The following is a 27,879-nucleotide window of genomic DNA, read 5'->3' as shown; positions in this document are numbered from 1 at the left end:
TTGGGGTTTCACCACGTCGTCCAGGCTGGTCTTGAACTCTTGGGCTCAAGTGATCCTCCAGCCTCAGCCTCCCTAAGTGCTGGGATTATAGGCGTGAGGCACCATGCCCAGCCAATTCATTCATTCTTTTATTTACACTTTCAGAACTCGTTTATTGAGCACCACATCAGCCAAGCCCTAGGTACTCAAAGAGAAGTAACTCACAGCCTCTGCCCTCACGAAGCCCACGGTCTGGCGGGGGAAGCTGACCCAGAGCAAATCAGTCCAACCTAGAGGGAAGGGGGCCCTGACAGGCATCCATCCTGGGAGTAATGTGGTCAGCTCAGGCTGGCTGGTGGACAGGGCAGGGCAGGGGAGTAGTCAGGGAAGGCTTCTCAGAGAAGGTGATGCAGGATCAGGGGCCTTAAGCAGGTACTGACCAGGCAGTTTAAGGAGGCAGGATGCTCCTGGCAGAGGGAACAGCCAGCTGGCTCCCTCCCCTCATCTTATAACTACGTGGACATTATTCAGGAGGTGAGTATGAAGAATAGGGGGCAAGTCAAGAACCAAAGGGAAGGCACCTGGGTATGACCTCATGATTTTAGACGACACAGGCTACTATGTTCCAACTCCTGGCTGGAGAGGAATCCAAAACCATCCTGGTAGAGGAGGCTAAGGGGATTTCTCCAGGAGTCACCTTCTCTGAGTCTCGCTTATGAAATGCAAAGGCAGGCTGGACATGGTGGCTCACGTCTGTAATCCCAGCACTTTGGGAGGCTGAGGTGGGCAAATCATGAGGTCAGGAGTTCGCGACCAGCCTGACCAACATGGTGAAACCCCATCTCTCCTAAAAATACAAAAATTAGCCAGGGGTGGTGGCAGGTGCCTGTAATCCCAGCTACTCAGGAGGCTGAGGCAGGAGAAATGCTTGAACCCAGGAGGTGGAGGTTGCAGTGAGCCGAGATTACACCACTGCACACTAGCCTGGGTGACAGAGCAAGACGCTGTCTCAAAGAAAAAAAAAAAAAAGGAAAAGAAATGCAAAGGCGGCCTACTCAGGGGTCCAGCAAACAAAGCAAATATATGAATCTGACTGGTTGTGAGGCAGTAGGGAGTGGTGGGGTCTGCAGACCATGTGCTGTGGAAGGAAACAAGTCAAAGAAGGCAGACAGGCTGTCAGGAGGTGTGAGGGTTTCTGAGTTCAATGGGGTGGGGTGGGGAGGGCCCCACTGAGTAGGTGACACTTGAGATAAAATCTGAAAAAGTGAGGAAGTGAGTCTTGGCTGTTTCTGAGAGATTACAGATGGACGGAACAGCAAAGGTGCTAAGGTGGAGTGAGCAGGGCATGGTGAGGAACGACAAGGAGGCCATCCCAGCACTGTGGGAGGCTGAGGCAGGAGGACTGCTTGAGGCCCGAAGTTCAAGACCAGCCTGGGCAACATAGGGAGACCCCCCCTCCACCTCACAGTAACTGGCTTCTCTGGCTCTGTGCCAGCAGTTCCTGCAGACCTTCCTGGGAAGGCCCAGCAGGTGTCTCACGGCCTTCTGAGGGATGCCCCCCAGGACTCAACCACTCACAGCTAATGCTGATTTAAAAACAAAACCAAAATCCAGCTGGGCGTGGTGGCAGGCGCCTGTAATTCTAGTTGCTCGGGAGCCTGAGGCAGGAGAATCACTTGAACCCAGGAGGCGGAGGTTGCAGTGAGCCAAGATCGCACCACTGCACTCCAGCCTGGGCGACAAAGCGAGACTCCATCTCAAATAACTAAATAAGTAAATAAAAATTTAACAAATAAAAGCAAAACCAATAACCAAAGCCACCAAATTATCAGTGTCCAAAGCAGGTGCAAGGCCACCAGATTGTCCTGAAGCTACCACTGATTAACTGTGATGATGCTTGTTCTGGCATCTTCCTGAAATCGTCCACTGCTTTCCACAGTGCTCCTGTGAACACCGAGGAGGCTCTACCCCAAATGCCTCTTTTCTCCTCGCCCTGTCCTTGAAATGCTCTTATGCGCTTCAACTCTCTTTCCTCAGGATGACTGCTTCCCAGGGAGCCCTCTAGCCCTCAAGCAAACAGGCCCTCAGGAATCTTCCTCTACGGTCCACCAGGGCTGCTCTGACAGGCCTAAATCCTGGAGGAAAATCAGCTGAGGCAGTAATAATAGGTTGGTTTCCTTCCTTCCTTCCTTCCTTCCTTCCTTCCTCCCTTCCTTCCTTCCTCCCTCCCTCCCTTCCTTCTTTCCACTTACTGGGTTCTTACTTTGTGCCAGACACTGTTTTAGGTGCTAAAGATACAGTAGTACACAAAGACAACACACATACACGTATGCAGAATAATGCATATATGTTAATTAATTTCACTTTGCCCTTCCAGTGACACACATAGTGTATACATATATAAAAGCATCATGTTGTATATTATAAATATATAAGATTTTATTTGTCAATTAAAGAAGAAAAGACAACAACAGGGGCCGGGTGCGGTGGCTTACTCCTGTAATCCCAACACTTTGGGAAGCTGAGGCGGGTGGATGGCTTGAGACCAGGAGTTTGAGACGAGCCTGACAGTCTGGTCAGGATTCAACACGGTGAAGCCCTGTCTCTACAAAAAATGTAAAAATTAGCCAGACATGGTAGCACTTGCCTGTAGTACCAGCTACTTGGGAGGCTGAGATGGGAGGATCTCTTGAGCCTGGGGAGGTCAAGGCTGCAGTAAGCCATGATCGCACCACTGCACTCCAGCCTGGGCGACAGAGTAAGACCCTGTCTAAACAAAACAAAACAAACAAACAAGAAACAGACAACAGAACCCCCCTTTCATGGAGCCCAAGCGCTGGTGGACTGTTGCATGCTTGCTGGACACCACTGCTGTAAGTACCTTCCATGCATGAGCTCATTTAATCCTCACAATAAGGTATCGTACTACTGCGTCCATTTTACAGATGAAGAAGCCTGAGGCTCTGAGAAGTTAGGCAACTAGCTTCCTAATGACAATGACTACCATTCATTGAGTGCTTACACTACTGTCAGACACTGGGTGGAGCATTTTGCATTCATTATCTGGGCAGCATGAGAGGTGACAGGTCTGAGGCAGGACAGGTATGATTTCAGCTCTAGCTCACCGTGTGGCCTTGCATGACTTCTTCCATGTGTCTTAAAGGGACGCACTCTTACGTGGCTCTAGGTCTTATGAAATATCTGAAATTTTCAGGCTGAGTGAGTTCCTCTGCCTCCCTGAAACCTGACAGGGAAGGCAGAGGGGACAGGGTCGGGTCCTGAGGACCAGCAGTGGGTGCTGGGAAGCCGGGGTGGATGCGAGGGTGAGGGGCATCTCCCGACACAGCCAGGTCAGCCGGGGGCAGCGCCGCCCAATAAATGCAGGCTCCACGTGCTTCCCAGGTGGAGCCCAAGTGGCCCTCGGATCCTGCTGGTTCCAGGGGCGACCACGCTTCAGGGCCCACAAGTGATGGAAATCGGGGGAATATTGTCTGCAGACTTTGTGCTGAAAATACATACCAGGGGGTGCGGGAGGATTAACACCTGCAAGTCTGTGGGAAACCACGGGCCTGGGGCCGAGCGTCCTGAATTCCAGTCCCCCACTTCTCAGGGTGGGCTGTGCTGCCTTGGTCAAGGCTCGGAACTCAGCTTCCCTATCCGTTACCGTGAGAGCTCTGACTCCCAGCCAGGCTCTCCCCGGGAGAGCGGGACCGCGGCGGCTCTCTGCCCCTCCCTCTTCGCCGGCCCGGGCCGTGGCTGGGGAGGCCCTAGAGGCCCCGGCGGGCTCCGGCGCCCCCTGCCGGCCGAGAAGGGCCGCACCGCGCCTGCGCCCGCTCGCCGAGAGGGGCTGGGAGGAGACCTGGGAGGGCGGAGGCCGCCGCCCCGGCCGGGCCACGCTGGGGGCACGATGATGTCAGCGGAGGAAAGGAAATGAGTCATCACTCCCTGGGACCGTGGGGCGGCCGGGAGCGAGTGTGGAGACGCGGCCACAGGAACCCAGGACAATGGCGGGAAGTAAGAGGAATGTGGGCCTGACTGCAGCCGCGCGCCCCTGACCCCGGACCCCACGGCGGGGAGGAGGCTGGGGCGCAGGGCGGGCCCCGAGGGGTCGGAAGGCGGCCAGAACTCAGGCGGGGTCGTGTGGGGACGGGGTGGCTGGAAGAGGATGGGGACGCAGCCAAGCCCAGGGTGCCCGGCCTGAAGAACAACCCGGGCCGTCTTTCTCACCAAGGATGTTTCCAAAACCTTAGCCGACCCCTTGGCGGTTCCTCCACTTCCCTTAAACTCTACTGAACCTCAGAATAATCCCGGGGGCAGGTTAAAACCCGGATCCCCCGGCCCCACCCCGGAGATTCTGATTCAGCAGGACAAAACTGGGCCTCCATGAATTTGCATTTTTTAAATTATCCTTTTTTATTGAGATGGGGTCTCACTGTGTTGCCCAGGCTGGTCTCAAACTCCTAGACTCAAGCAATCCTCCCGCCTCAGCTCGGCAACGTGCTGGGATTACAGGCATCAGCCAGGATCCCAGCCGGAATTTGCATTTTTAACAAACTCCTAGTAGGGGGTGCTGGGCCAGGGTCCTCAGACCACTCTTTTGAGTAGTGCCACCTTAGAACGAAGTCCTGCTACTTGGCGGACCTAGAACCGTCCTCTGTCATGTGGTTCCTCCAGTCTCACCTGTCCCCACCTCCTACCCCTCACCAGTGTACTAGCAAGACCCAACTACCTGCATGTTGCGGTTCTCTCCTCTGTGTGTTTGCACAGACTATTTCCTTCGATTGAAAGGCCTTCTCTTCACTACGCTGCTGCTCAAACTGTCTGACTTCTACCTGCCCTTTAAAATCTTCTCCATGGGTGTGTCAAAGAGTATAATCAACAGAGTGAAAAAAGCAACCTATAGAATGGGAGAAAATATTTTCAAATCATAGCTCTGATAAGGAATCAATATCCACAGTGTATAAAGAACTACAGCTAGACCATAGAAAATCAATCCTGATTCAAAAATGGGCAAAGGACTTGAATAGGCATTTCTCCAAAGAAAATAAACAAGCGGCCAATAAGCACTTGGGAAGATGTTCAACATCACTAATCTTTAGGGAAACGCAAATCAAAACCATAGTGAGGCCCCCACCATCCTGACTCTCCTTCCTTCCAGAGGATGTTGCCTTCTGGATCCACCTCAACCCTACTCAGGGAGCCGCTCAGCTTCCTCAAGGGCCTGGAGTAGATGGCTTCCATCTTCTCTTTTGCCACCTGTGGAGGTTTTTAAGAGCAAACAGAAATTCAAGTGAATTGTCCTCCTACAGTTACTGACGAAACTATTACAGCTACTTCTGATTATCCATTCAGGTTAAATCAGGCATCATTTCAGTCACCTCCAGGTATTAATGTGTATGATATAAATTGGAAAGTCAAGTCCTCCTAGGAGATGACTGTGCTTCTGCACAATTCCATTACATTTGCAGTCTCTGTCTTCCTGTACTGCATTGCTGTCGTGCTTTATGTTGGTTACAGGAACCTATATCAGGGTAGTCATAAACTTCCCATGATTGGCTTTGTCATTACTCTTGTTGCCATCTTTTGCGATTGGTGAGCACTTCAAAAGCTCGCTTGGGCAAAAGCTCTTGCAGATATTAAAATAACTACTGGTCAAAATATTGTTCAGGAACTTCTGCTTGTAAGAAATCATAATAATGTGTTATTTTGGCTCTGTGACCAGCATGGGATTCCTAAATGTATCTGTGATCTTTGTCTTTCTGAATATGATACTTTGGAGGGGAAATGCTTGGCGTGTGTACAAGTATGAGGAGACCAACTTACACAACCCATCAAATACTTATGCTCCTCATAGCCAAGGAGGTATTCCACCTCCTGCTGGAATGTAATTAAAGGGAGAAACACACTGTATGAAATATATGTCTATATCATGACTTGTTGCCAACATCTTGAGGCACATTATTTGTTTCCAATAAAAGTAATGTTTTTTTTTTTAAGCCACACAATGAGATATCACCTCACACCCATCAGAATGGCTACTGTAAAACAAAAACAGAAAATAACAAGTGTGGACAAGAATGTGAAGAAAGTGAAGCCCTTGTGCAGTTGGAGGGAATGTAAAATGTTCCAGCCACTGTGGAAAACAGTGTCTTCATCTGTTTCCTATTGCTATAACTGAACACCAGAGACTGGGTAAATTATAAAGAAAAGAATTTATTTCTTACAATTCTAGAGGCTGGGAAGTCCTAGGTCAAGGGACTGCATCTGCTTGGCCTCTGGGGAGGGCCTCATGTCATAACATGTCAGAAGGCATCACGTGGGAAAGGGGTGCACTGAGAGCCAAACTGCCTTTAATAACAAACCCAGGCTGGGCACAGCGGCTCATGCCTGTAATCCCAGCACTTTGGGGGAGCAGGGGGTCAAGGCTTGCAGATCACTTGAGGCCAGGAGTTCAAGACCAGCCTGGCCAACATGGTGAAACCTTGTCTCTACTAAAAATACAAAAATTAGCCAGGGATGGTGGCAGGTGCCTGTAATCTCAGCTACTTGGGAGGCTGAGGAAGGAGGATGGCTTGAACCCTGGAGGCAGAGACTGCAGTGAGCCGAGATTGTGCCACTGCATTCCAGCCTGGGTGACAGAGTGAGATTCTGTCTCAAAAAATATAATATAATATAATATAATATGGCACAAAGAATACTAAATAGACCTCTGTACTTGCCCACACAGGTTTAACAAATGTCAACATTTTGCCACATTTGCTTTCTATTTCTTTTTTCGAAAAAACAAAACAAAAAAACCCCCAAAACTGATAAATCTAAAGCCCTCCCATTTTCCCTTGTATAGATAACCAGTGTCTCAAGTTAGTGTAGATCCTTCTTGACCATGTATATATACACATACATACATACACATTTACTACAGAGGTATATATCAATGTATACAATACCATATCGATAATATGTATATTTCATACGTATATAAAATATGGGGGCCCAGGAAGCGATCCTCTTGCCTCAGCCTCCAAATTAGCTGAGATTACAGGTCTAAGCCACCACGCCTGGCTAATTTTTATATTTTTAGTAGAGATGGAGTTTCACCATGTTGGCCAGGCTAGTCTCGAATTCCTGGTCTCAAGTGATCCACGCACCTCAGCTTCCTAAAGTGTTGGGATTACATACACAAATATAACACATACATTAACAATATATGTACATATATACTATCATACTGTGTAAATCTCTTTGAAATTTGCTTTTTCACTCATTTTTGAGATTTACCCGTGTTATTACATTGTAGATCTGATTCGTTAATTTTAAATGCTCCATAGTTTCCCATTGTTTGAATAAACCTGTTTATTTATTTGTTCCTTTCCTAATGGACTGTTGGTTGTTCCCATTTTCGTTATTACACACAGCACTGCAGTGAAAATTCTTGTATCGATGTGTGGGTGTTTTTTCCTTTTGAGACAGGGTATTGCTCTGCCACCCAGGCTGGAGTGCATTGGCACAATCACAGCTCACTGAAGCCTCAACTTCCTAGGTTCAAGCAATCCTCCCACCTCAGCCTCCCAAGTAGCTGAGACTACAGGCGCATGCCACCACACCCAGCTAAATTTTAAATTTTTTGTAGACAGGGGTCTTGCCATGTTGACCAGGAGGATGGTTTCAAAACTCCTGGGCTCAAGTGATCCACCCGCCTCAGCCTCCCAAATTGCTGGGATTACAGGCATGAGTCACCGCGCCCGGCCTGTTTTGCGAGGCATATGGTTGCTAGATCACAGTGCATGCACATCTTCGGCTTTAACTAGCTATCGCCAAATTCTCCAAAGTTGATCTGAAACCAGTGGAGCGTGTCAGCACTGCCCCTAGCATGCGCACACCAGGCGGGGGTGTGACAGCCCTCGGGCTAGGCCCCAACCCCACTTCGAGATCCGTGCGGGGGCCGGGAGCTAGCAGAGGCCAAGCAATGGGAACAGGCACCTCCAAGCCTGCAAGGACAAGGCGAGCACCTTCCTGGGCCCCCAAAAGTGCAGAGGGGCCCGAGTCCACAGCCCGGACTTGGGCGGCTGCTGCCGCTCCCGGCTCCCGCCTGCTACGTGAAGCGTGATGCCCGAGCCGCACCCCTCGCGGCCTGGGGCGGGGGCGCCTGGTCCTCGCTGGGCCGGGGCCGGGTCTGGGGCAGGGGCGTCCTCTCCACGAGCCTAGCCCCGTGGCCCCGGCGCTCAGGGGCAGCCTGGAGTTCCCCTCGCCCGGCTCGCCGCACGGCCCGGGGCAGGGCGCCTCCGGGAGCGGATCGTGGGCCAGGGCCCAGCCGTCTGTTGTGTCAGGCCCGCGGTCACCCCGATGAGGGGTGGACCCCAGGGACGCTGCCCCGGGCGGCCCTGCGCAGAGCCTCCTCCGGAGGCGCAGGAACTCCGCACCTTTGGTAGGGCAGGCGCCGCCTCTCCCTTACGGCGCTGGGCTTCCGAATGCGGCCCCAGCTTCGCCTCCTCCCAGCGGCCTCCTGGCGGCAGCAGCGGGCAAGAGCGGCGACGCGGGGCCAGGGTCCGGAGGCCCTGATCTGGAGGCACGTCCCGCCCGGCCGCGCGAGGGTGGGGGCGGCGCAGTCGGTTGCCTCGGGGACGCGGGCACAGGGTACCCGCCGCCACTGCTGCTCCAGCAGCCGCTCCTGCCACCGCCGCCCGCGCCCCAGCGCGGCGGACGGCCCGCCGCTGCCATCAGGTTTTGTCACAAAGTGAGTTTAAACCAGGACGGGCGCTGTGGCTCACGCCTGTCATCCCGGCATTTTGGGAGGCCCAGGCGGGTGGATCGCCTGAGGTCAGGAGTTCGAGACCAGCCTGGCCAACATAGCAAAACCCCTTCTCTACTAAAAATACAAAAATTAGCCAGATGTGGTGGAGGTTGCCAGGAGGCTGAGGCAGGAGAATCTCTTGAACCCGGGAGGTAGAGAATGCAGTGAGCCGAGATCCCGCCACTGCACTCCAGCCTGGGTGACACAGCGAGACTCGTCTCAAAAATACATACATACATACATACATACATACATACATACATACATGCATACATACATAAAGGAGTTTAAACCAAATTTAGGGGAGCAAACTTAGTTTTCAGAGTTTTTCTATTTTGGAATTGCAAATAAAAGATTTTAAGCTTCTACCAATTTGTATTCCCACCAGCCGCTTATGACTTCTCATTTCCCCATATCTTTACCAATATGGTGTTATTAGGCTTTTTAATTTTTGCCAATCTGATAAGTGTGAAATGAAGTCTTTATTTTGATTTGAATTCTCATAATTACTAGGGAAGTTGAGCATTTTTCATTTGTTTATGACAATTCCGGTTTCCTCTTCTGTGAATTTCCTGTTTCTCTTGAATTGTTCTTCTTTTATTGATGTATTCTGGACACAAACAAGTTGTACTGAATTGCCAATATCTTGCCTTTTCATATTTATGGTACCTTTCATCATAAAGAAGTTTAAAATTTCAAGGTAGTCAAATTCATCAACATTTTCCTTTATAAAATATGTCCTTCTCATCTTATTTAAGAAACCCACCCCCTTCAAGTTCATGGTTGTATTTGCTTGCAGATTTTTTTTAAGTTTTAAAGTTTGGCTTTTTATATTTAGTTTTAAAAAATATATCCGGAGTCTATCTTTGGGTACGATGTGAGGAAGGAATCTAGTTTTATATTTTGCATCTGTTAGCCAGTTGTTCTGGTATTATGTACAAATTGGTGTCTTATTTTCCCGCTGATGTGTAGTAAAACCACCTCCATCACAGTCCAAGTTCCCATCAATATGTGGCCCACCTCTGGGTCCTCTGTGCAGCCCCATGGTCTCTTTGTCTGTCTTTGCTAATAATAATTCTTTATTATGGTAGGACAAGCCCCTCCCATCTTATTTCTCACTTTCTTCTTCAATAGTGTCCTAGCTAGTCTTGGCCCTTTATTCCTTTATTATATAAATTTTTTAAAAACTTGTTTATTTCCATAGAAAAACTAGTTGGATTTATTTATTTATTTATTTATTTATTTATTTATTTATCTATTTTTGAGACAGAGTCTCCCTCTGTTGCCCAGGCTGGAGTGCAATGGCGTGATCTCAGCTCACTGCAACCTCCGCCTCCCAGGTTCAAGCGATTCTCCTGCCTCAGCCTCCCAAGTAGCTGGGATTACAGGCATGTACCACCACGCCCAGCTAATTTTTGTATTTTTAGTAGAGATGGGGTTTTGCCATGTTGGCCTGCCCGGCTGGTCTCAAACTCCTGACCTCAGGTAATCCGCCTGCCCCAGCCTCCCAAAGTGCTGGGATTACAGGCATGAGCCACCGTGCCTGGCCAGGATTATTTTTTTAAAACAAACTCTCAGATCACTAAAAACTGGTTGGATTTTGATGAGTATTGTCTTTGGGTCACAATTTCGCTGTTAATAAGGAGGGATGAAAATACTTTTATTTTTTGACTCACAGTCTGGTCCTATCGCCCAGGCTGGAACGCAGTGGTGAAATCATGGATCACTGCAGCCTCAACCTCCTGGGCTCAAGCAATCCTCCCACCTCAGCCTCCTAAGTAGCTGGGACCACAGGCATGCGCCACCATGCCTGGCTAATTTTTGTATTTTTTGTTGTGACAGTGTTTCACCTAGGCTGGCCTCAAACTCTTGAGCCCAAGTGATCCACCTACCTCAGCCTCCCAAAGTGCTGGGATTATAAGCATGAGCCACCGTGCCTGGCCTGAAAATACTTTTTCTTTTCCCTCAAAGGAGAGGGCAGTCATACCCCACTTATTCTGAGGTTACATTTCAGCAAACTCCAAAGTCTGGAAAACAAGAGGAAATAAGAATAAGGTCAAAACAGCCTCTGAGAAGCTCTGGACACCTCAGAACCTATGTGCTAAATCACACCCACTTTTGTCACAAGTGGTCTTCTCAGGCCTCCCTCAGAACCTGTTTACTTTAGTCACTGTTCCAGGAAACTTGATGGTCTGATTTCCTAGCCTACAGCAGATTTAAAGCAGCTGCAACTTAGAAGAAACATGGAGGAAAACATGCTGATAACTAACATCTGATAGAGATAGAAAAGTCCAAATACTTATGAAAACCAGCTGCAGGAAAATGAGAGGGCAGCAGAGCGGGGCCGCTCACTTCTGAAACCTTTGGAGGCCCCACTGCACATATGATGGACAGAAGGCAGCTCTGTTCCACACGGTCATTCAGGAGCCAGGAGTTAACCCCTCCTTGTGTGTTCTGGGGCTGCTCCGGCTGTGGACATTCTAGGCGGAGTGGGAAGGTACAGTGAACAAGTTCAAGTCCAGCATTTCCTCTTAGGCAAGTGATGGGCAAGATGCACCCACCTACTGCAGTTTCATCCCATTGCTGAGAGGTTGGCACTAGGCCCTACCCAGCTGCACAGGGACCAGGAGATGTAGTCTTTGCTGGTCATATAAGGCCTTCTAGAGCATCGTAGTGATATAGGAGTTAAAAAGAAATTTCTGGCCGGGCATGGTGGCTCACGCCTGTAATCCCAACACTTTGGGAGGCCGAGGAGGGTGGATCTCAAGGTCAAGAGATCAAGACCATCCTGGCCAACATGGTGAAACCCTGTCTCTACTAAAACTACAAAAATAGCTGGGCATGGTGGCACGTGCCTGAGGCTGAGGCAAGAGAATCGCTTGAACCCGGGAGGCAGAGGTTGCAGTGAGCCAAGATCGCATCACTGCACTCCAGCCTGGCAACAGAGAGAGACTCTGTCTCAAAATAAAATAAAATAAAAATAAAAGAAATTTCTCAGGCAGATAATGAGGGTAAGGAAGTCCTCAGTAAGGTTTTCCTTTTAATCAAAAGCAGCCCCCAAATCATTTCTTTTTCTAAGAAAGAGCCTGTAAAATCGAGCTGCAGACATAGATAAGCAAGCTGGAAACTTGCACGGGTGAATGCTGGCAGCTGTGCCAATAGGAAAATGCTACCTGGGGGCCAAAATGTCATGTTCAATATGGAGGCTCCATCTTCCCTTTTCTTTGCCAACCACATGTACAGTAAGGAACAGACAACATGGCGCTGGCCAGATAGAGACGCCATCTACATAATAAAAGATCAGGGTGGGATGGCCAGCTTTTTCACGCACTATGCAAACGTCACACCTGGCTTAACCAATCGCTCAGGCCCTATGTAAATCAGACACCACCTTCTCAAGTTCGTCTGTAAAACCCCGTGCTTTTAACTACAAAACCAGAAGATCCGCTCGGGAGCCTCTCTCTCTCTCTGCAGGAAAGAAACCTATTCTCTTTTCTCTTTCTTTCGCCTGTTAAACCTCCACTCTTAAACTCACTTCTTGTGTGTCTGTGTCTTCAATTTCCCTGGCGTGAGTCAAGGAACCTCGGGTATTTACCCCAGATAATGACACCGCTTCAGCAGGACCCCAGCTCTGACTCTGAGTGAGATGAGAGCCATTGGAGAGCTCTGAGCCCAGCCGTGACCTGATCTGATTTGTAAATGATCCCTCAGGTTGCTGTGTTGAGAAGGCTGAGGGGGTGCAGGTGGGGGCAGGGGCAAAAACAGGGACCCCCGTTGGGATGACCTGCTCTCTGAAGCTTTCCTGACCCCTCCTCCCTTCAGGTGGAGCCGACCTCTTCCTCTGTTGTTCTCTAGGCTTCCACAACATTTCCCCTAATTTAAACACTGACTGTTTACTTGTCTGTCTTCCTCCAGGTCAATATATCCACAGCACCTGGCCCAGAACAGGTGCTTGGCAAAGTATGTTTCCAGCATGTTAGATACAATTGAAATAACAGCTAGAACCCAGTATGTTGGTCAAGGATCTTTTTTAAAAATGTATTTATTTTTCACAGACAGGGTCTTGTTTTGTTACCAGGCTGGAGTACAGTGGTTCCATCATAGCTCATTGTAACCTTGAACCCTCTTGAGGCTCAAGAGATCCTCCTGCCTCAGCCTCCCGAGTAGCTAGGACTACAGGCCATGCCACTAAGCTTTTTAAAATTAAAAAGATTTAATTTTAAAATATTTTGTAGAGACAGGGTTTCGCTGTTTCCCAAGCTGGTCTAGACCCCCTGGCATCAAGCAATCCTCCCGCCTTGGCTTCCCAAAGTGCTGGGATTATAGGCATGTGCCACCGTGCCTGGCCAGGGATCCTTAACTGCAGGAAACAGAAACCAACTCTGGTTGTCTTTAAATTAAAAAGAAAATTTTGGAGATGCCCAGAACCCACAGGAAGGCTGGAGAACTAGGTCTGGACAAAGAACAGGAAGCAGCAGAGAGGTTCTTGGCAGTCAGGCTGTGTGGCTGTGGTGAAGAAGTCAACTGCCTCTCCCACCTTGTTTCAAAGTCCTGGGAAGGGCTCTGACTGGAAGGATTGAGGTCAGGTGTCAATGCTTTGGTCTCACTGGGGCAGGGAGAGGAAGAACTGGGGCAGGGAAAACCTTCAGAGACCCCTTTGGCTTCCAGGATGGGAGGGCAAGGCTCCCCGATTTAGTGTCTCACCAAGACTGTGCTGGCAGGAGGCAGGCAATGGGAAGGGAGAGCAGAGAGCTGTGAGGGGAAACCAATGCTGAGTGGCCCAGTGCCAGCAAATGTCCACAACAATTTCCCAGGGCTGGAAAAGCACAGAGGCACGAGCTGGGAACTGGGAATTGGGCACTGTACAAGAGATGAGTCTTCCTTGTCTGTGGAAGACAAGGGCTCAGCACAGCACCTAGTACTCAGATGTTCATCTGATGTTTATCCCATGAGTGGATGGATGGAGGGATGAGCTACGAAAACCCAAGGGCTGTGAGCATTACTCCTTCCTTCCTTCCTTCCGAGCCAGAGTCTTTCTATGTCACCCAGGCTGGAGTGCAGTAGCATGATCCTGGCTTACTGCAATCTCTGCCTCCTGGGCTCAAACAATCCTCCCACTTCAGCCTCCTGAGTAGCTGGGACTACAGGCACATACCACCATGCTCAGCTAATTTTTTTTTTTAATTTTTTGTACAGACAGGGTCTCACTGTATTGTCCAGGCTGAACATTTCTAGGCATATTGATTTTATGAATCAGAAGGGGATGAGATGGCAGCAGCCTCAATGAAGAGATGAATGCAAAAAAGAAAAAAAGACTTACCTCAGGGAACAAATTGTAGCACTGTTTCCAAAGGCCCCATTCATCTAGCTCTGAGCAGGATTAACATTTATTTAAATAAATTGGCCCCATGCAGTTTGGGCTGATTATGTTGGACACACTGGAGGGATTGGGCAGCAGGAGGTGGGCTAGCCTCCAGATTCTCTCAGGAAGCCATGGATCTGGCCCTGACATCCCATCCAGGAGTGGGGCCCAGCAGTCTGGGGAAGAACCAAGTGGGACGTTTTGACTACACGTGCCAAGAAGCCAGCATCTTTCAAGGAAATCTGCTGGGCTGGGCACCAAGGAGTATCACAATCCATGCATAGCGAGTTGAGGGGTTGGCCTCAGAACCTGCCTGGAGGTCATACAGCCCAGAGGTTTCCAAATGTGCTCTTGGGGCCTGTGAAGTCACAGAAGTGTCACAGGTGCATCCAGAGGTGAAGATAAGGAGGCAAACCCTGAGCTCCTCGTCCCAGTTGCCTTTGACCAGAGCAGCAACACACACTTTCAGGTTTTTCAAGGGAGATTCATTTGAATAAAGAGTTCTGTGGGCCGGGTGCACCTGTAATCCCAGTACGCTGGGGAGGCCAAGGTGGGAGGATCACTTGAGACCAGCCTGGGCAACACAGCAAGACCTCCTCTCGAAAGAAAGAGAGAGAGAGAGAGGGAGGGAGGGAGGAAGGGAGGAAGGAAGGAAAAAAAGAAAAGAGTTCTGTGTACAAAAAAAAAAGTTTGGGATCTACTTCAGTGTTTTCAGGAGTATAGATGGGAAGGACACAGAATTGCTAGTTACGTGACCTTATTAAGCCTTGGTTTCCCCATCTATAAAATGTGGATAACATCAGAGGATTGTAGGCTGGTGCGGTGGCTCATGCCTGTAATCCCAGCACTTTGGAAGGCTGAGGCAGGCGGATCACCTGAGGTCAGGAGTTCGAGACCAGCCTGACCAACATGGAGAAACCCCATCTCTACTAAAAATACAAAATTAGCCGGGTGTGGTGGCATGTGCCTGTAATCCCAGCTACTTGGGAGGCTGAGGCAGGAGAATCGCTTGAACCCAGGAGGCAGAGGTTGCGGTGAGCCAAGATCGCCCCACTGCACTCCAGCCTGGGCAACAAGAGCGAAACTCCATCTCAAAAAAAATAAAATTAAATTAAAATAAAACAACCCAGAGGATTGTGGTGAGATTAAATGGGATAATGTATGTGGCAGGATATTATTTTGAGACACTCATTGATGTTCATTTTTCTCCCTGTATTTTCCCATTTGCTTTTCCACATTCAAGTAGCTTTGAGGGCGGGGGCAGATTGAGGAGTACCCTAAAACTCTTTCTTAAAGGCCTGAACCCTTAGGGAACTAAGCTGGTGTCTAGAAGCGAGAAAAGGGGAAGAGAAGATTCATGCAAATGCTCAAGGCACCTTGGCCAGAAGCAGAGGGGAGACCAGACCCCACACTCCTCCAGAACCAGCAGGGTCTCCTGTCCCAGAAAGGAATGACAGAGAGCAAGAGATCTGTGGCCCCGGAGCAGTTCTCAGGGAGGCAGTGAGATCCTTTAGGCTGACCACGTTGAAGTAACAAGAAAACATTGGCCCTGAAGGGGCCCTGGGGGTGGGGCAAGGACAGCATCAGAAGCCATGGATGGTGTTCTGAAGACCAAAATCCCATCCTCCTACCACGTGATGTTGCACAAAGACCTCAGAACTAGGACATAAATCCTGGAAGAAGTTACATATTTAGGCCGGGTGGGGTGGTAATCCCAGCGGAGTCTGAGGCGGGTGGATTGCTTGGGCCCAGGAGTTTGAGACCAGCCTGGGCAAGATGGTGAAACCCCATCTCTACTAAAAATACAACAATTAGCTGGGTACAGGGGCATGAACCTGTCATCCCAGCTACTCGAGAGGCTGAGGCTGGAGAATTGCTTGAACCCTTGAGGTGGAGGTTGCAGTGAGCCGAGATGGAACCACTGCACTCCAGCCTGGGCGACGGAGTGAGACCCTGTCTCCAAAAAATAAAGAAAGAAATTACATATTTTTCCCCACCAGCCTGATGGCAAAGGAACTCCGAATCAGAAATGGGGCACAGGTACAGAAAAACAAGAAAGTTTTCTGCCTGCCCACTGGAGCTGTCCGGGCACTGAGCAAAGGCCTGCCATGTGTGTGTCTAAGGCCTAGAGCCAGCCCAGGGGCTGCATCTGCATCACTCAGCCCTCTCCTGGCTCGTCTCTGTGCCTCTTCAGTCCAATGCTTCCTCCTTCCCGGGCCCCATCTGTTCTGCAGTTTTCTCTCAACCTAGCTTCCTGGGAAGGGCTGCAGACATGTTTGAGGAGCCCAGTAAAACACCCTCAAGGGCTGTTGCCTTCTTCCTCCGGGCTAATGAATTCTTGCAGGGGCTGGGAAGAGGTGGGTGGGAGGACAGGGCAGGTAGATCTGGAGAGTCTGGCTTCCTGGGCCCCAGCCCAGCCCTCGGCAGAGCAATGTGACCTGATCCCATACTTGGCAAGGCAGCTGCAGACATTTGCAAAGTGACAAAAGGAGAGGAGGGACCTAAGAAGAAAACAGCATTTGCACAGCACATGGAAGTGCCTGGAAATGTTTTCTAGACACGTTATTCTTCTCTAGGGTGATTTTCAAGGCCAACTGAGCCTGGAGACTAAGGCTTCCAGAGGTGACTGACTGGCCCAGTGTGGCCACAGAGGCTTCCTCTCTGCAGTGTGTGTGTGAGTGAAACTGCCTTTGCAAAGATTGTAACATTGAGAAAATTACGGCAGTGAAAGAGATCTAATCTAACCCACCCCCATCTCGCATTTGCCTTAATCATTCCTGGGCTTAAGCTAAGCTAACTTTGGGAGACATTTAGGTTATCGTTTATTTATTTATTTATTTATTTATTTATTTATTTAGAGGCAGGGTCTCTCTCTGTTGCCCAGGCTGGGGTCCAGTCGTGCGATCTCAGCTCACTGCAACCTCCGCCTCCCAAGTTCAAGTGATTCTCATGCCTCAGCCTCCTGAGTAGCTGAGACAGGTCCGTGCCACTACACTCAGCTACTTTTATTGTATTTTTACTAGAGATGGGGTTTGCCATGTTGCCCAGGCTGGTCTCGAATTCCTGGTCTCAAGTGATCCACCCACCTTGGCCTCCGAGTGTGCTGGGATTACAGGCATGAACTACAGCACCCTGCCAAAGTTACAGTTTAAATTATACTAGGCCTTCCCCAAAAGTCAACTGCCTTTTAAAGCTGATGAAAGGCCATTAGACTAGGGAGAGAAGAGGAATCTGATTTCTGATAAGGTGTAGCCATTATTCCAGGGGGATCCTGCAGATAACATCACTATTGTAGACTGACCTTTTGAGATATCTTTTCAGATATTTTTTGCATGTCTGACACCCATGACTCCACCTGGACCTGATGACTCCTGTGGCCCCACCCAGGAGTGACTCAGCTCAACACAACAGCTTTGACCCCCTCTGAGTTCATCTCCACTCCAACCAATCAGCAGCAAGCACCCATTGGCTGGCCACCCCCACCCCTTACCCAAACTGCCTTTGAGCCTTGGAGATTGATATGAGTGATAACTCCATCTCCTGTGTGGTGTGGCTGGCTACAAGTCAATTAAATTCTTTCCCTACTGCTATGGTGTGTTCTTTATTTGTGCAGCAGGAAGGAAAAACCCATCAGTTACATGAGCATGTGTGTATATGTGTGAGTATATGTATGTATTGTGTATGTGTGAATGTATGTGTGTATATAGTGTGTATGTGTGTGTCTATGTGTGTATAGGAATGTGTGTGTGTGTGTGTGTGTGTGTGTCCATTTCAGGACAGGGGCTCTCCCTAGATCTTTAGAGCCGGTAGGACGTCATTTAGCAATCCCCCAAATCCAATCACTCCTTTTTAGGGATGTTAAAACCAAGGCCCAAGGGACATGACCTGCCTGAAATCGCACCTTTCTCCAGTGACAAAGGAGGAAGTGGCCTGGGAGTCAGAAGTGGTCTCATCTGCACCCCAACTCTTGGCCCTTCTTGCTTGGTAGAGGTCATTCTCTCTTGATAGCACAGCCGCTTGATGAAAATAGAGCAGTTAGCTTGTCCAGCAGTGGCCCCATCTGGGCCAAGCCCTGTGCTTTGTACCTGACATAGGTTATGTCATTCAACGTACCCCTCACAGTGATCTCTCAAAATAGGCATTTTGATGTACATTTCATAGAGGTGGAAACCGAAGCTGGCTGGGTGAGTTTTATTTCCTGTGGCCTGCGTACTTGTTCTATTTATGTAGTCATGATTGACATTTTTGAGGACATACTATATGCCGGGTACTGTTCTAAACACTTTGTGCATGTTACCTTCTTTTTTCCTCATCATAGCAGGTACCTATGTTACCACTATGTAACCACCCTATGTTACAAACGAGGTCCCTAAGCACAGAGTTGAAGTAATTGCTCAAGGTAAATCAGCAAGTAGAGGTCAGAAATCTAAAGGCAGTGAGGAAGGGGAGCAGTGAGGCCGGAAGAGAGGAAAGCCCTACAAGTCTGAGTTAACCGCAGTGGGCAACTGGGGCTCAACCCCACCAGGGACGGCTGTGAGCCTGGGTCAAACACACTCCGGGGGTATTTAGCTGAGGGATTGTAACTGAGTAGCCCCGTTTTTCTAAGAGATGGTTTAATTATTTTTTTCTCTCTTCTTTTCTCACTCCCCGGTTCCCCAGTTTCCCACTTCCTACTCATTCCTTTAGACATGCAAATATAACCTTTTACCTCGCAGTTCAGCAGATGCCTACAAGGCAAGTTCATCTAATTATATGTTCTCCTAGACGGATCTCTTCTTGAGGGTTACCAGTTGATTTGCAAACCAAAGCCTGCCCATCGGGGAACTCTAACCCTCCACCGGGTTGCCTCAGAACTTTCGCTCACCAAGAGGCTGCCTTGAGAGATATTTTTAGTAGAGATGGGTTTCCCCATGTTAACCAGGCTGGTCTTGAACTCCTGGCCTCAAATGATCCACCCACCTCAGTCTCCCAAAGTGTTCCCCGACTAACGCAGTTCATCGTCTTATCAGCATTTAGAGAGGCTCCCTGCTTCCTTAGTACTTTGTGTTTTTTCCTTGCTCTCTGCCTAAATGTCAAATAGATAATCTCTAGACTCCAGCATCTAGTAATACTTTGCAACGTCTCATGTCTTTCCATTAATACTTGTTACGTGATAAAAGGGTTGGTTTCATGCTCCTTGAAAGATGTTTCCAATGGGTTCAAGGACTTTCTTTGCTTTTTATTTTATTTTATTTTGAGACAGTCTTGCTCTGTTGCCTAGGCTGAAGTGCAGTGGTGCGATCTCAAGTCACTGCAACCTCTGGGTCCCCAGTTCAAGTGATTCTCCCATCTCAGCCTCCCAAGTAGCTGGGACCACATGGACAGGCCACCATGCCCAGCCAATTTTTAGTAGAGACGGGGTTTCGCCATGTTGGTCAAGCTGGTCTCAAACTCCTGGCTTTAAGCAGTCTGCCTGCCTTGGCTTCCAATGTGGTGGGATTACAGGCATGAGCCACTGAGCCCGGCCCTTTCTTTGCTTTTTAAATTAAAATCTTTTCTTTTAACACTTCCAAGCCCAGATTAGTCTTGCAAGCCTCAGCATCTGCTAGGAAGTTGCTTGTTCTCTTGGAGGTGGACTCTTGGGGACATTGTTTTTCTTCTAAAAGATTAACACAGCATTAGCGATATATTTGATGAAGTTTACATAAGCAGATGAAATCAGCTTTTGCCTTATGAAGAAATGTGGTGGACTGCTAACCAGTGCCCCACCCAACTCCACCTCCTACTACTTGCACCCTGGTGTAGCCCCTTCTCATGCAGACTCTGGACTTGGCCGGGTGATTTGCTTTGCCAACTGGATATTAGCAAGAGCTATGTAAGCAGGGGCTTGATAGACATTTGCACAGGGGGGCTCCTGCTCTTGTAAGCAGGCCACCATGCTCTCAAGAAGTCCAGGCCATCCCCCTGTGAGAGGAACCAGGAGATTCCTGGAGGAGAACAGAGGTGCCTGGCCCCAAGGCCCCAGGCAAATACAAGAGGCCTTCTTGGACATTCCCACCAGCCTGTTGCCAGTGAACACAGCCACATGAGCCACCCCTAGGCAAAGACCGCCCAATCAACCAGACACTGCCAAAAAAAAAAAAAAAAAAAATCATTGTCTGTTTAAAGCCCCTAAATTATGGGACTATCTGCTGCACAGCCACAGAGAACTGACACATGAAGTTCACGTTCAACAGTAAAGTGGAACATGGACAATCCTGAAGGTGAGCTGTGGAAACATTCTCAGCATCCTGAGTCCTGTTTATCTCGAGGTTGCACCTATTTCTTGGATTTATTTCTGACTATAAAAGGAAAATTGAAAAATACCCAAAAAAAGTTTAAAGAAGAAATTGATATTGCTCACAGTCCCACACTCCAAAATAAGTATATTTTACCTTTTGGTGACTCTCCTTTCAGGTCTTCTTTCTTTCTTTCTTTCTTTTTTTTAGGCAGGGTCTCGTTCTGTCACCCAGTCTAGAGCACAGTGGCATAATCATAGTTCACTGAGCGTCAACCTCCTGGGCTCAAGTGATCCTCCTGCCTCAGCGTCCCCAGTAGCTGGTACTACAGGCATGCACCACTATGCCCAGCTATTTTTTGTATTTTTAGTAGAGACGGGGTTTTGCGATGTTGGACTGGCTGGTCTTGAACTCCTGACCTCAAGTGATCCTCCTGCCTCAGCCTCCCAAAGTGCTGGGATGACTCGTGAGCCACCGTGCCCAGCCGACATAACATTTTTTATTTAATGAATCTTCTGCTGTTGAACATTTAAGTTGGCTTGTTTGAAACAGAACGTAATATTGCAGTCCATATACTTGTAAAAAGTATTTCAGCATATGGCAGATGATTTTCTTAGAAAAGTGTCCCAAGGTGGACTTACCGCATGTCCTGATTAATCTCTGTGTCCCCAGATACTCTTTGCAGCCTCCCCTACCTTTCTCTGTGCCCCCGGAGACTGAGCCAGCCCTAAGCATTGAATCACTTAACTTCCCCTGGTACTTTGAATAAGGTTCAGCCATCAGGAGGCAACAGCAAGGGGGACAGGTGACAGGAGGGGAGGGGGTATGTATTTGTCCTGCTCCCTCCCTGCTTTGCTGTGGTTCTGGCAGTGACTGCAGCCCTAGGGCTGTAACTTGGGTGTGGCCGACCCTCCGAACTGTCTGGGGTGCTAATGGAGTCCTGCTGTTGCACAAGCTTCAACTTCCCCTCTTGGTTCCCTTAACCTGGCCCATGTCTCTGAAAATAATAACTTCACTACAACATCTCTTCAAAATCCCAGCTGGGTAGGGAGATTAGAGGGTCTTTCTAGAACACCTGCTAATATGAACAAGTTCTCCTTCGCTGGCCATTTTTTTCAAAGTGTTCTTGGTTGTCCCCACTTGTCTATGACCTTTAGATTCACTATGCAAAATTCCCCAAAAATATATTGGAATTTTTATTATTAATACAATTGCACAAAACTGGCCATGGGCAGTTGCTCACACCTATAATCCCAGCATTTTGGGAGACTGAGGTGGGAGGATCGCTTGAGCACAAGAGTTTGAGACCAGGCCGGGCACAATAGCTCATGCCTGTAATCCTAGCACTTTGGGAGGCTGAGGTGGGCAGATTGCCTGAGCTCAGGAGTTTGAGACCAGCCTGGACAACATGGGAAAATCCCGTCTCTACTAAAAAACAAAAAATTTGTTGGGCATGGTGGTGCACATCTGTAATCCCAGCTACTCAGGAGGCTGAGGCGTGAGAATTGCTTGAACTAGGGATGTGGAGGTTGCAATGAGCCAAGATCGCACCACTGCACTCCAGCCTGGGGGACAGAGTGAGACTCTTTCCAAAAAAAAAAAAAAAAAAGAATTTGAGACTAACCTGGGCAACACAGCAAGACACCATCTCTACAAAAAAAATTAAAAATACAAAAATTAGCTGGGCGTGGTGGCATGCACCTGTAGTCCTAGCTACTTGGGAGGCTGAGGTGGGAGGATCACAGGAGCTCAGGAGTTTGAGGTTACAGTGAGCCATGAGCACACCACTGCACTTCAGCCTGGGCAACACAGCAAGAGGCTGTCTCTAATTTTTTTAAAAATAAGAAAAAATGTGTTAAAAAAAAGAATCACACAAAACTTATATATTAATTTGGCCAGAACTGGCATCTTTCCATTCACGAGTATCACATGCCTTTCCATGTATGTAAACTTTATTTAAAACCTCTTAGTTAAGTTTTTGTTGTTTATAGGACATGCACATTTTGTGTCAAGCTTATATCTAGGTATTTTATAAATGACCATGAAAAAATTCACTCTCAAGCATTAAAGAAATGCAAATTATGAGAGAACAATGAGATCCTATTTTTCCTTTCAAACTAGGACATAGTTTTACAAATAATACTCAACCTCAGAACGGTGTAGTGAAAAGGGCATTCTCATATGCTTCTGGGAGGATATGCATTAGTCTATTTATGTCCATTCTGGAGGAAGGTTTGACATTTTGTATAATAAGAATTGAAAATGTTGGCCAGACATGTATACATATGTAACTAACCTGCACATTGTGCACATGTACCCTAAAACTTAAAGTATAATAATAATAAAATAAAAAAAAGAAAATTAAAAAAAAGAAAAGAAAAGAAAATGTTGGCCAGGTGTGGTGGCTCATGCCTGTAATCCCAGCACTTTAGGAAGCTGAGGCAAGACGACTGCTTGAGCCCAGGAGTTCAAAGCCAGCCTGGGCAACAAAGCCAGACCCTGTCTCTATTAAAAATAAATAATAATAAATTTTTAAAAAGAATTTAAAATGTTTATGTCCTTTTAAATGAAATCTTTCCTATCCAGTTTTCCTGTGCAGCTGCTTCATTCAAGCCTGCTTTTAGTTGGAGCCTAAAACAATGTGAATAAATGTCCTAAATCCATAATTAGCGGCCTAATATGATTTTTTTAAGAAGTCCATATCCTTTGGCTTAATGTATAAGGTCAGGGTCCTGGCCAGAAATAGGCCCGAGCATTTAGTTTATAATCAAAGTGATATTTCAAACCAGTGAGGAAATATTCTACTAAAAGAGAAAGGCTGGGCTGGGCATGGTGACCCACGTCTGTAATCCCAGCACTTTGGGAGGGCGAGGCGGGTGGATCATTTGATGTCAGGAATTCAAGACCAACCTGGTCAACATGGCGAAAACCCATCTCTACTAAAAATGCAAAACTTACCCGGGCATGGTGGCACGCGCCTGTAATCCCAGCTACTGGGAAGGCTGAGCCAGGAGACTCGCTTGAACCTGAGAAGCCGAGGTTGCAGTGAGCAGAGATTGTGCCACTGCACTCCAGCCTGGGAGACAAAAGCAAGACTGTCTCAAAACAAACAAACAAACAAACAAGAGAGAAAGCCTGAATAATGACATATGAAAAGTTGACTATTCAGAAAAAAATAAGTTTAGATCTTTATCTTCCAGTTTATATCAAAATTAGTCCCAGGTGGGTTTAAAAGCCAAATGAAGGAGTAAGAGGAAATGGAGGAAGGGAAGGGGGGAAGAGGAGCAGAAAAGAAAAAATATAGATCTGAAATGTCTGTGTGATACTCAGATGGGAGCAGTTTTACAATTAAAAAAAAACAAAAGGGAGAAAGAATAAAGGAAAACATCAAGGCCGGGAGTAGTGGCTCAAGCCTGTAATCCCAGCACTTTGGGAGGCCCAAGGCAGGCAGGTTGCTTGAGCCCAGGAGTTCAAGACCAGCCTGGGCAACATAGCGAGACCTCCTCTCTACAAAAGATACAAAAATTAGCCGGGCGTAGTGGTGTGCACCTGTGGTTCCAGCTACTAGGGAGGCTAAGGTGGGAGGATGGCTTGAGCCGGGAGGCGGAGACTGCAGGGAGCCAAGATCACGCCACTGTACTCCAGCCTGGGTGACAGAGTGAGGCGCTGACTCAAAAATAAAAAACTAAAGAAAGAAAAAGAAAAACATCAAAAGGTCATCCCACATCAAAATGTCGTGTGGTGTATCAAATATCACCAAAAACAAAATCAGAAGGTAAAATTCTAAGCTTAGAAAAATATTTGCAACACATTCGACAGAACTGACATTTTTAAAGTGCTTCTGTACGTCAACAAGAGAAAAAATAGAAAATAGAAAAGCAGACCAAGGATATGAATAGGCAACTCACAAAAGGAGAAAGTCAGATGTTCACAACTATTTTTAAAATGCAGCAGACACGTGGTCTTGGAGACGCAACAAGCAGGGCCGCGGACCAGGCGTTAGGTAGGAAAGGCATTCACCCCTTCTCCAGCTGCGGGGCGGGGCCCCGGGTCCCTCTCTGGAGGGGCCTCCAGGGAGCGGAGCTCTGGGATGCCGTTTCCCCGGGGCGTCTGGGAGGGGCTGGAGAAACAAGCATTTCCTAGGGCTGAGCCCACTTGCCCTCTAGGGGGTGACGATTTCTCTCCCAGTCTTCCCCCCGACTTGGCTGGACTCCGAGGGGAGGGCGCTGGCGCTTCCAATGGCACAGCAGCTCGTGGGGAGCTCGGGCGCTGCCTCTCGGGCGGCTTCCCCAGCCCTCCTGACTCGCGGCCACCGGAGGGCGGTGCTGTCCAGGAGACGCCGGAGCTGGGCGCTCACAAAGGCCCCTTTCTCCTCCACCGAAGATGAGTCATAGCCCAGGCGGGGTCGGAAGGGCAGCCGCTCCAAGGCGACTGCAGAGCCGCGACTGCAGAGCCACGCCTCCGAGTCACCCTGGACGCCTGCGCCGGCCGCGTCTGCTTCTCCTTGGCTTGGCAGGCCACAGGGAAAACTGGGTCAGGCCGGTGGCCTAGTTCGCTGGTTCACAGCGTGAACGCCGGCAGTAGGTGACTAGGAAGGGCATCTCCACTTACTGTCTGGCTCATTCACGTGACAAATATCTGAAGAGCCCCGTGACTGACAGCCAGTTGCTAGTGCACTCCCAAGGCCCGGGTCACCTGAGTTTAGAATGTGTCATCTCAATACCCTGGGGGCTGGGCCTGCCTGGGCAGGTCGCCAAATCACTGGTCTTGTCACATCTCAGGTTCAGTTGCCCACATTGCAAAACATCCCCTGGCCCCCTGGCATTGGATTCCCTTGTGATCTAACCCTGCCCCACCCCTCTGACTGGCTCCCACCAGGTGGCCTTCACTTTGGTCCCCACCCCTGCCTGGCAATCCCCCTCCCCACATCCTGCTCCTGTGAGCCCAGGCCTGTCCTATGGCGGCCTGCAGTGACCTTCCACACCCACCCGAGCCCATTCAGTCTCCTCTCTGCTTCTGACTCTGCCCTAGGATGTCTGAGGATGTCATTTGTTTTTCCCTCCAAAATTCTTTTTGCTAATAAGAAGGACACTTTTGACACCCGGTCCAAAGGTGTAAGCTCCTGGGCCTCAGTGGAGCCAGAAGCAGCCTGTATAGGCCTGGTCTGCTCAGCTGGACAGGAGGAGATCTGGTAGGGATGGACCACTCCAGAGGAGAGGAGGTCAGCCATGGGCCTGAGCAGCATGAAGACCTCATGTGCCAGGAGGGAGGTCAGCAAGGGTGTGAGACCAAGGAGGGCACTGAGTCCAGAGTGCAGTAGCCCTTCCTCTTCTTTCTTTTCTTTTCTCTCTTTTTTTTTTTTCAGATGGAGTCTCACTCTGTAGCTTAGGCTGGAGTGCAGTGGCACAATCTTGGCTCACTGCAGCCTCCACCTCCCAGGTTCAAGCGATCCTCCTGCCTCAGCCTCCTAAGTAGGTGGAACTACAGATGCACACCACCAAGCCTTGCTAATTTTTGTATTTTTAGTAGAGATGGGGTTTCACCATGTTGACCAGGCTGGTCTCGAACTCCCAGCCTCAAGTGATCTGCCCTCTTTAGCCTCCCAAAGTGAACCACCAGGCCTGGCTCCTCTCCTTTTTTCTTTCCTTCCTCTTCTTTCCCTGCCCTCCCTTGTGGTTGCAGCCAAGGAGCTGGGCTGCAGCTGGCCCTCCCTCATGCTGAGTTTTGCTAACATAGTGCCTTCTTGTTCTCTCCCCCTCCCACCTTCCTGCCACCCCATGTGCCATTTCCCAGTGACTCTGGAGCTTCTGAGATGCCTCTGCCTGCATTATGGGTGGGCACACTGAGGCTCAGAAGAGCCAATGACTTGCCAGGAAGCACAGCCATTGGCAGGAGTGGGCAGAGTGGCAGAGGGATCAACTCTGTCTCACCCCAACTTGTGAGGACATGCCCAGAACACATGGGAAAGCAGGTGCACTGTGCTTTGCTGGGATGACAGCGTTCATAGACTTGAAGGCATCAATTTGACTTCAGCATTTAAAAAAATTTGTAATGTTTGCTGCAGAATATCCAAACAATAGAGATGTGTATAAAATAGAACCCAAACAAAAGTCCAATTCTCCCCCAACTCACTTCTCACTGTTGTAAACCAAAAATAATGGACCCCTCCTCTTGGCCAAAGGCATTCCAGGGTTACCTGAAAATCTAGTCAGGCCACGATGGAAGAGGGGGTGGGAGATGCCTCATTATACCCTCCAGCATTCACACCAACGGGGACCTTAGGTCTGATAAGAAACAATACAGTCTATTCTCCCTAAATCCTGCTACTTGGAGGCTTCGTCTGTGTGACAAAACCTAGGTCTTCACAACCTCTTATCATAACCCAGACATTCCTTTCTACCGATAATAACTCTTTCAATCAATTGCCAATCAGAAAGTTTTAAAATCTGACCTCTGGAAGCTGCACCCTACTTTGAATTGTCCTGCCCTTCCAGATCAAACCAATGTAAACCTTGCCTGTATTGATTGATGTATTGTCTTCCTAAAATGTATGAAAGCGGCCAAGTGCAGTGGCTCACGCCTGTAATCCCAACACTTTGGGAGGCCGAGGCAGGTGGATCACCTGAGGTCAGAAGTTTGAGAACAGCCTGACCAACATGGAGAAGCCTCGTCTCTACTAAAAATACAAAATTAACCCGGGCGTGGTGGCGCATGCCTGTAGTCCCAGCTACTTGGGAGGCTGAGGCAGGAGAATAGCTTGAACCCAGGAGGCGGAGGTTTTGGTGAGCTGAGATCACATCATTGCACTCCAGCCTGGATGACAAGAGCGAAACTCTGTCTCAAAAAAAAAAAAAAAAAAGGAAAGAAAAGAAAAAAAATAAAAAGGAAAGCAAGCTGTACCCCGACCACATTGGGCACATGTCATCAGGACCTCCTGAGGCTGTGTTATGGGCATGTCCTTAACCTTGGCAAAATAAGCTTTCTAAACTAACTGAGACCTGTTTCATATATTTTGGGTTCACACTATTAAGAGTTTGGTATACGGCTGGGCTCAGTTGCTCACACCTGTAATCCCAGCACTTTGAGAGGCTGAGGCGGGCCGATCACCTGAGGTCGGGAGTTCGAGACCAGTCTGACCAACATAGAGAAACCCTGTCTCTACTAAAAATACAAAATTAGTGGGGCGTGGTGGTGCATGCCTGTAATCCCAGGTACTTGGGAGGCAGAGACAGCAGAATTGCTTGAACCCGGGAGGCAGAGGTTGCAGTGAGCCAAGATCACGCCATTGCACTCCAGCCTGGGCAACAAGAGCAAAACTCTGCCTCAAAAAAAAAAAAAAAAGAGTTTGGTATAAATCCATCCTTCTAAGCTTTGCAACACATTTTATATATATGTAAATATAGATATATGTGTATATAGATACACATTTGTATATATGTATATATACATATATACAATTATAATCACTGAACTACCATTCTGGAACTTCT

At 48.6% G+C, this 27,879-nt stretch overlaps 3 long non-coding RNA genes and 1 pseudogene across 3 annotated transcripts, besides 12 other annotated features; 2 read left to right on the top strand and 2 right to left on the bottom strand.

The window, feature by feature from the left end:
- Positions 3,623–4,022: a silencer, noted in NCBI's record as "silent region_8326". NCBI's record gives its function as "represses an Ori minimal core promoter by ATAC-STARR-seq in GM12878 lymphoblastoid cells {active_cell/tissue: GM12878}" and the evidence as "EXISTENCE:reporter gene assay evidence [ECO:0000049][PMID:35858748]".
- On the top strand, positions 3,917–7,359 carry LOC124903958 (uncharacterized). Its single transcript, XR_007065678.1, has 2 exons — positions 3,917–3,993; positions 5,977–7,359. It is a non-coding gene; the product is annotated as an uncharacterized LOC124903958 (long non-coding RNA).
- Positions 4,043–4,192: a silencer, noted in NCBI's record as "silent region_8325". NCBI's record gives its function as "represses an Ori minimal core promoter by ATAC-STARR-seq in GM12878 lymphoblastoid cells {active_cell/tissue: GM12878}" and the evidence as "EXISTENCE:reporter gene assay evidence [ECO:0000049][PMID:35858748]".
- LINC03146 (long intergenic non-protein coding RNA 3146) lies at positions 4,368–25,230 on the bottom strand. The gene is made up of 3 exons (XR_007065677.1): positions 24,298–25,230; positions 23,348–23,465; positions 4,368–5,235 (listed from the first exon to the last, which is right to left on the bottom strand). It is a non-coding gene; the product is annotated as a long intergenic non-protein coding RNA 3146 (long non-coding RNA).
- SYPL1P2 (synaptophysin like 1 pseudogene 2) lies at positions 5,108–5,967 on the top strand (annotated as a pseudogene).
- Positions 8,120–8,829: a silencer, noted in NCBI's record as "silent region_8324". NCBI's record gives its function as "represses an Ori minimal core promoter by ATAC-STARR-seq in GM12878 lymphoblastoid cells {active_cell/tissue: GM12878}" and the evidence as "EXISTENCE:reporter gene assay evidence [ECO:0000049][PMID:35858748]".
- On the bottom strand, positions 9,234–14,704 carry LOC124903959 (uncharacterized). The gene is made up of 2 exons (XR_007065679.1): positions 10,663–14,704; positions 9,234–9,380 (listed from the first exon to the last, which is right to left on the bottom strand). It is a non-coding gene; the product is annotated as an uncharacterized LOC124903959 (long non-coding RNA).
- Positions 11,763–12,421: an enhancer, noted in NCBI's record as "OCT4-NANOG-H3K27ac-H3K4me1 hESC enhancer chr17:25672330-25672988 (GRCh37/hg19 assembly coordinates)". NCBI's record gives its function as "activates a minimal SCP1, AML or CMV promoter by ChIP-STARR-seq in primed H9 embryonic stem cells {active_cell/tissue: H9 hESC(primed)}" and the evidence as "EXISTENCE:reporter gene assay evidence [ECO:0000049][PMID:30033119]".
- Positions 17,460–17,509: an enhancer, noted in NCBI's record as "active region_11900". NCBI's record gives its function as "activates an Ori minimal core promoter by ATAC-STARR-seq in GM12878 lymphoblastoid cells {active_cell/tissue: GM12878}" and the evidence as "EXISTENCE:reporter gene assay evidence [ECO:0000049][PMID:35858748]".
- Positions 17,980–18,059: an enhancer, noted in NCBI's record as "active region_11899". NCBI's record gives its function as "activates an Ori minimal core promoter by ATAC-STARR-seq in GM12878 lymphoblastoid cells {active_cell/tissue: GM12878}" and the evidence as "EXISTENCE:reporter gene assay evidence [ECO:0000049][PMID:35858748]".
- Positions 18,250–18,299: a silencer, noted in NCBI's record as "silent region_8323". NCBI's record gives its function as "represses an Ori minimal core promoter by ATAC-STARR-seq in GM12878 lymphoblastoid cells {active_cell/tissue: GM12878}" and the evidence as "EXISTENCE:reporter gene assay evidence [ECO:0000049][PMID:35858748]".
- Positions 18,660–18,709: an enhancer, noted in NCBI's record as "active region_11898". NCBI's record gives its function as "activates an Ori minimal core promoter by ATAC-STARR-seq in GM12878 lymphoblastoid cells {active_cell/tissue: GM12878}" and the evidence as "EXISTENCE:reporter gene assay evidence [ECO:0000049][PMID:35858748]".
- Positions 18,730–18,849: an enhancer, noted in NCBI's record as "active region_11897". NCBI's record gives its function as "activates an Ori minimal core promoter by ATAC-STARR-seq in GM12878 lymphoblastoid cells {active_cell/tissue: GM12878}" and the evidence as "EXISTENCE:reporter gene assay evidence [ECO:0000049][PMID:35858748]".
- Positions 19,090–19,169: an enhancer, noted in NCBI's record as "active region_11896". NCBI's record gives its function as "activates an Ori minimal core promoter by ATAC-STARR-seq in GM12878 lymphoblastoid cells {active_cell/tissue: GM12878}" and the evidence as "EXISTENCE:reporter gene assay evidence [ECO:0000049][PMID:35858748]".
- Positions 19,535–20,035: an enhancer, noted in NCBI's record as "H3K4me1 hESC enhancer chr17:25664716-25665216 (GRCh37/hg19 assembly coordinates)". NCBI's record gives its function as "activates a minimal SCP1, AML or CMV promoter by ChIP-STARR-seq in naive H9 embryonic stem cells {active_cell/tissue: H9 hESC(naive)}" and the evidence as "EXISTENCE:reporter gene assay evidence [ECO:0000049][PMID:30033119]".
- Positions 24,630–25,179: an enhancer, noted in NCBI's record as "active region_11895". NCBI's record gives its function as "activates an Ori minimal core promoter by ATAC-STARR-seq in GM12878 lymphoblastoid cells {active_cell/tissue: GM12878}" and the evidence as "EXISTENCE:reporter gene assay evidence [ECO:0000049][PMID:35858748]".

The sequence above is a fragment of the Homo sapiens genome, chromosome 17 (genome assembly GCF_000001405.40).
Source record: "Homo sapiens chromosome 17, GRCh38.p14 Primary Assembly".
NCBI classification, from domain to species: Eukaryota; Metazoa; Chordata; class Mammalia; order Primates; family Hominidae; genus Homo; species Homo sapiens.
This window is presented reverse-complemented; position numbering and strand designations above follow the sequence as displayed.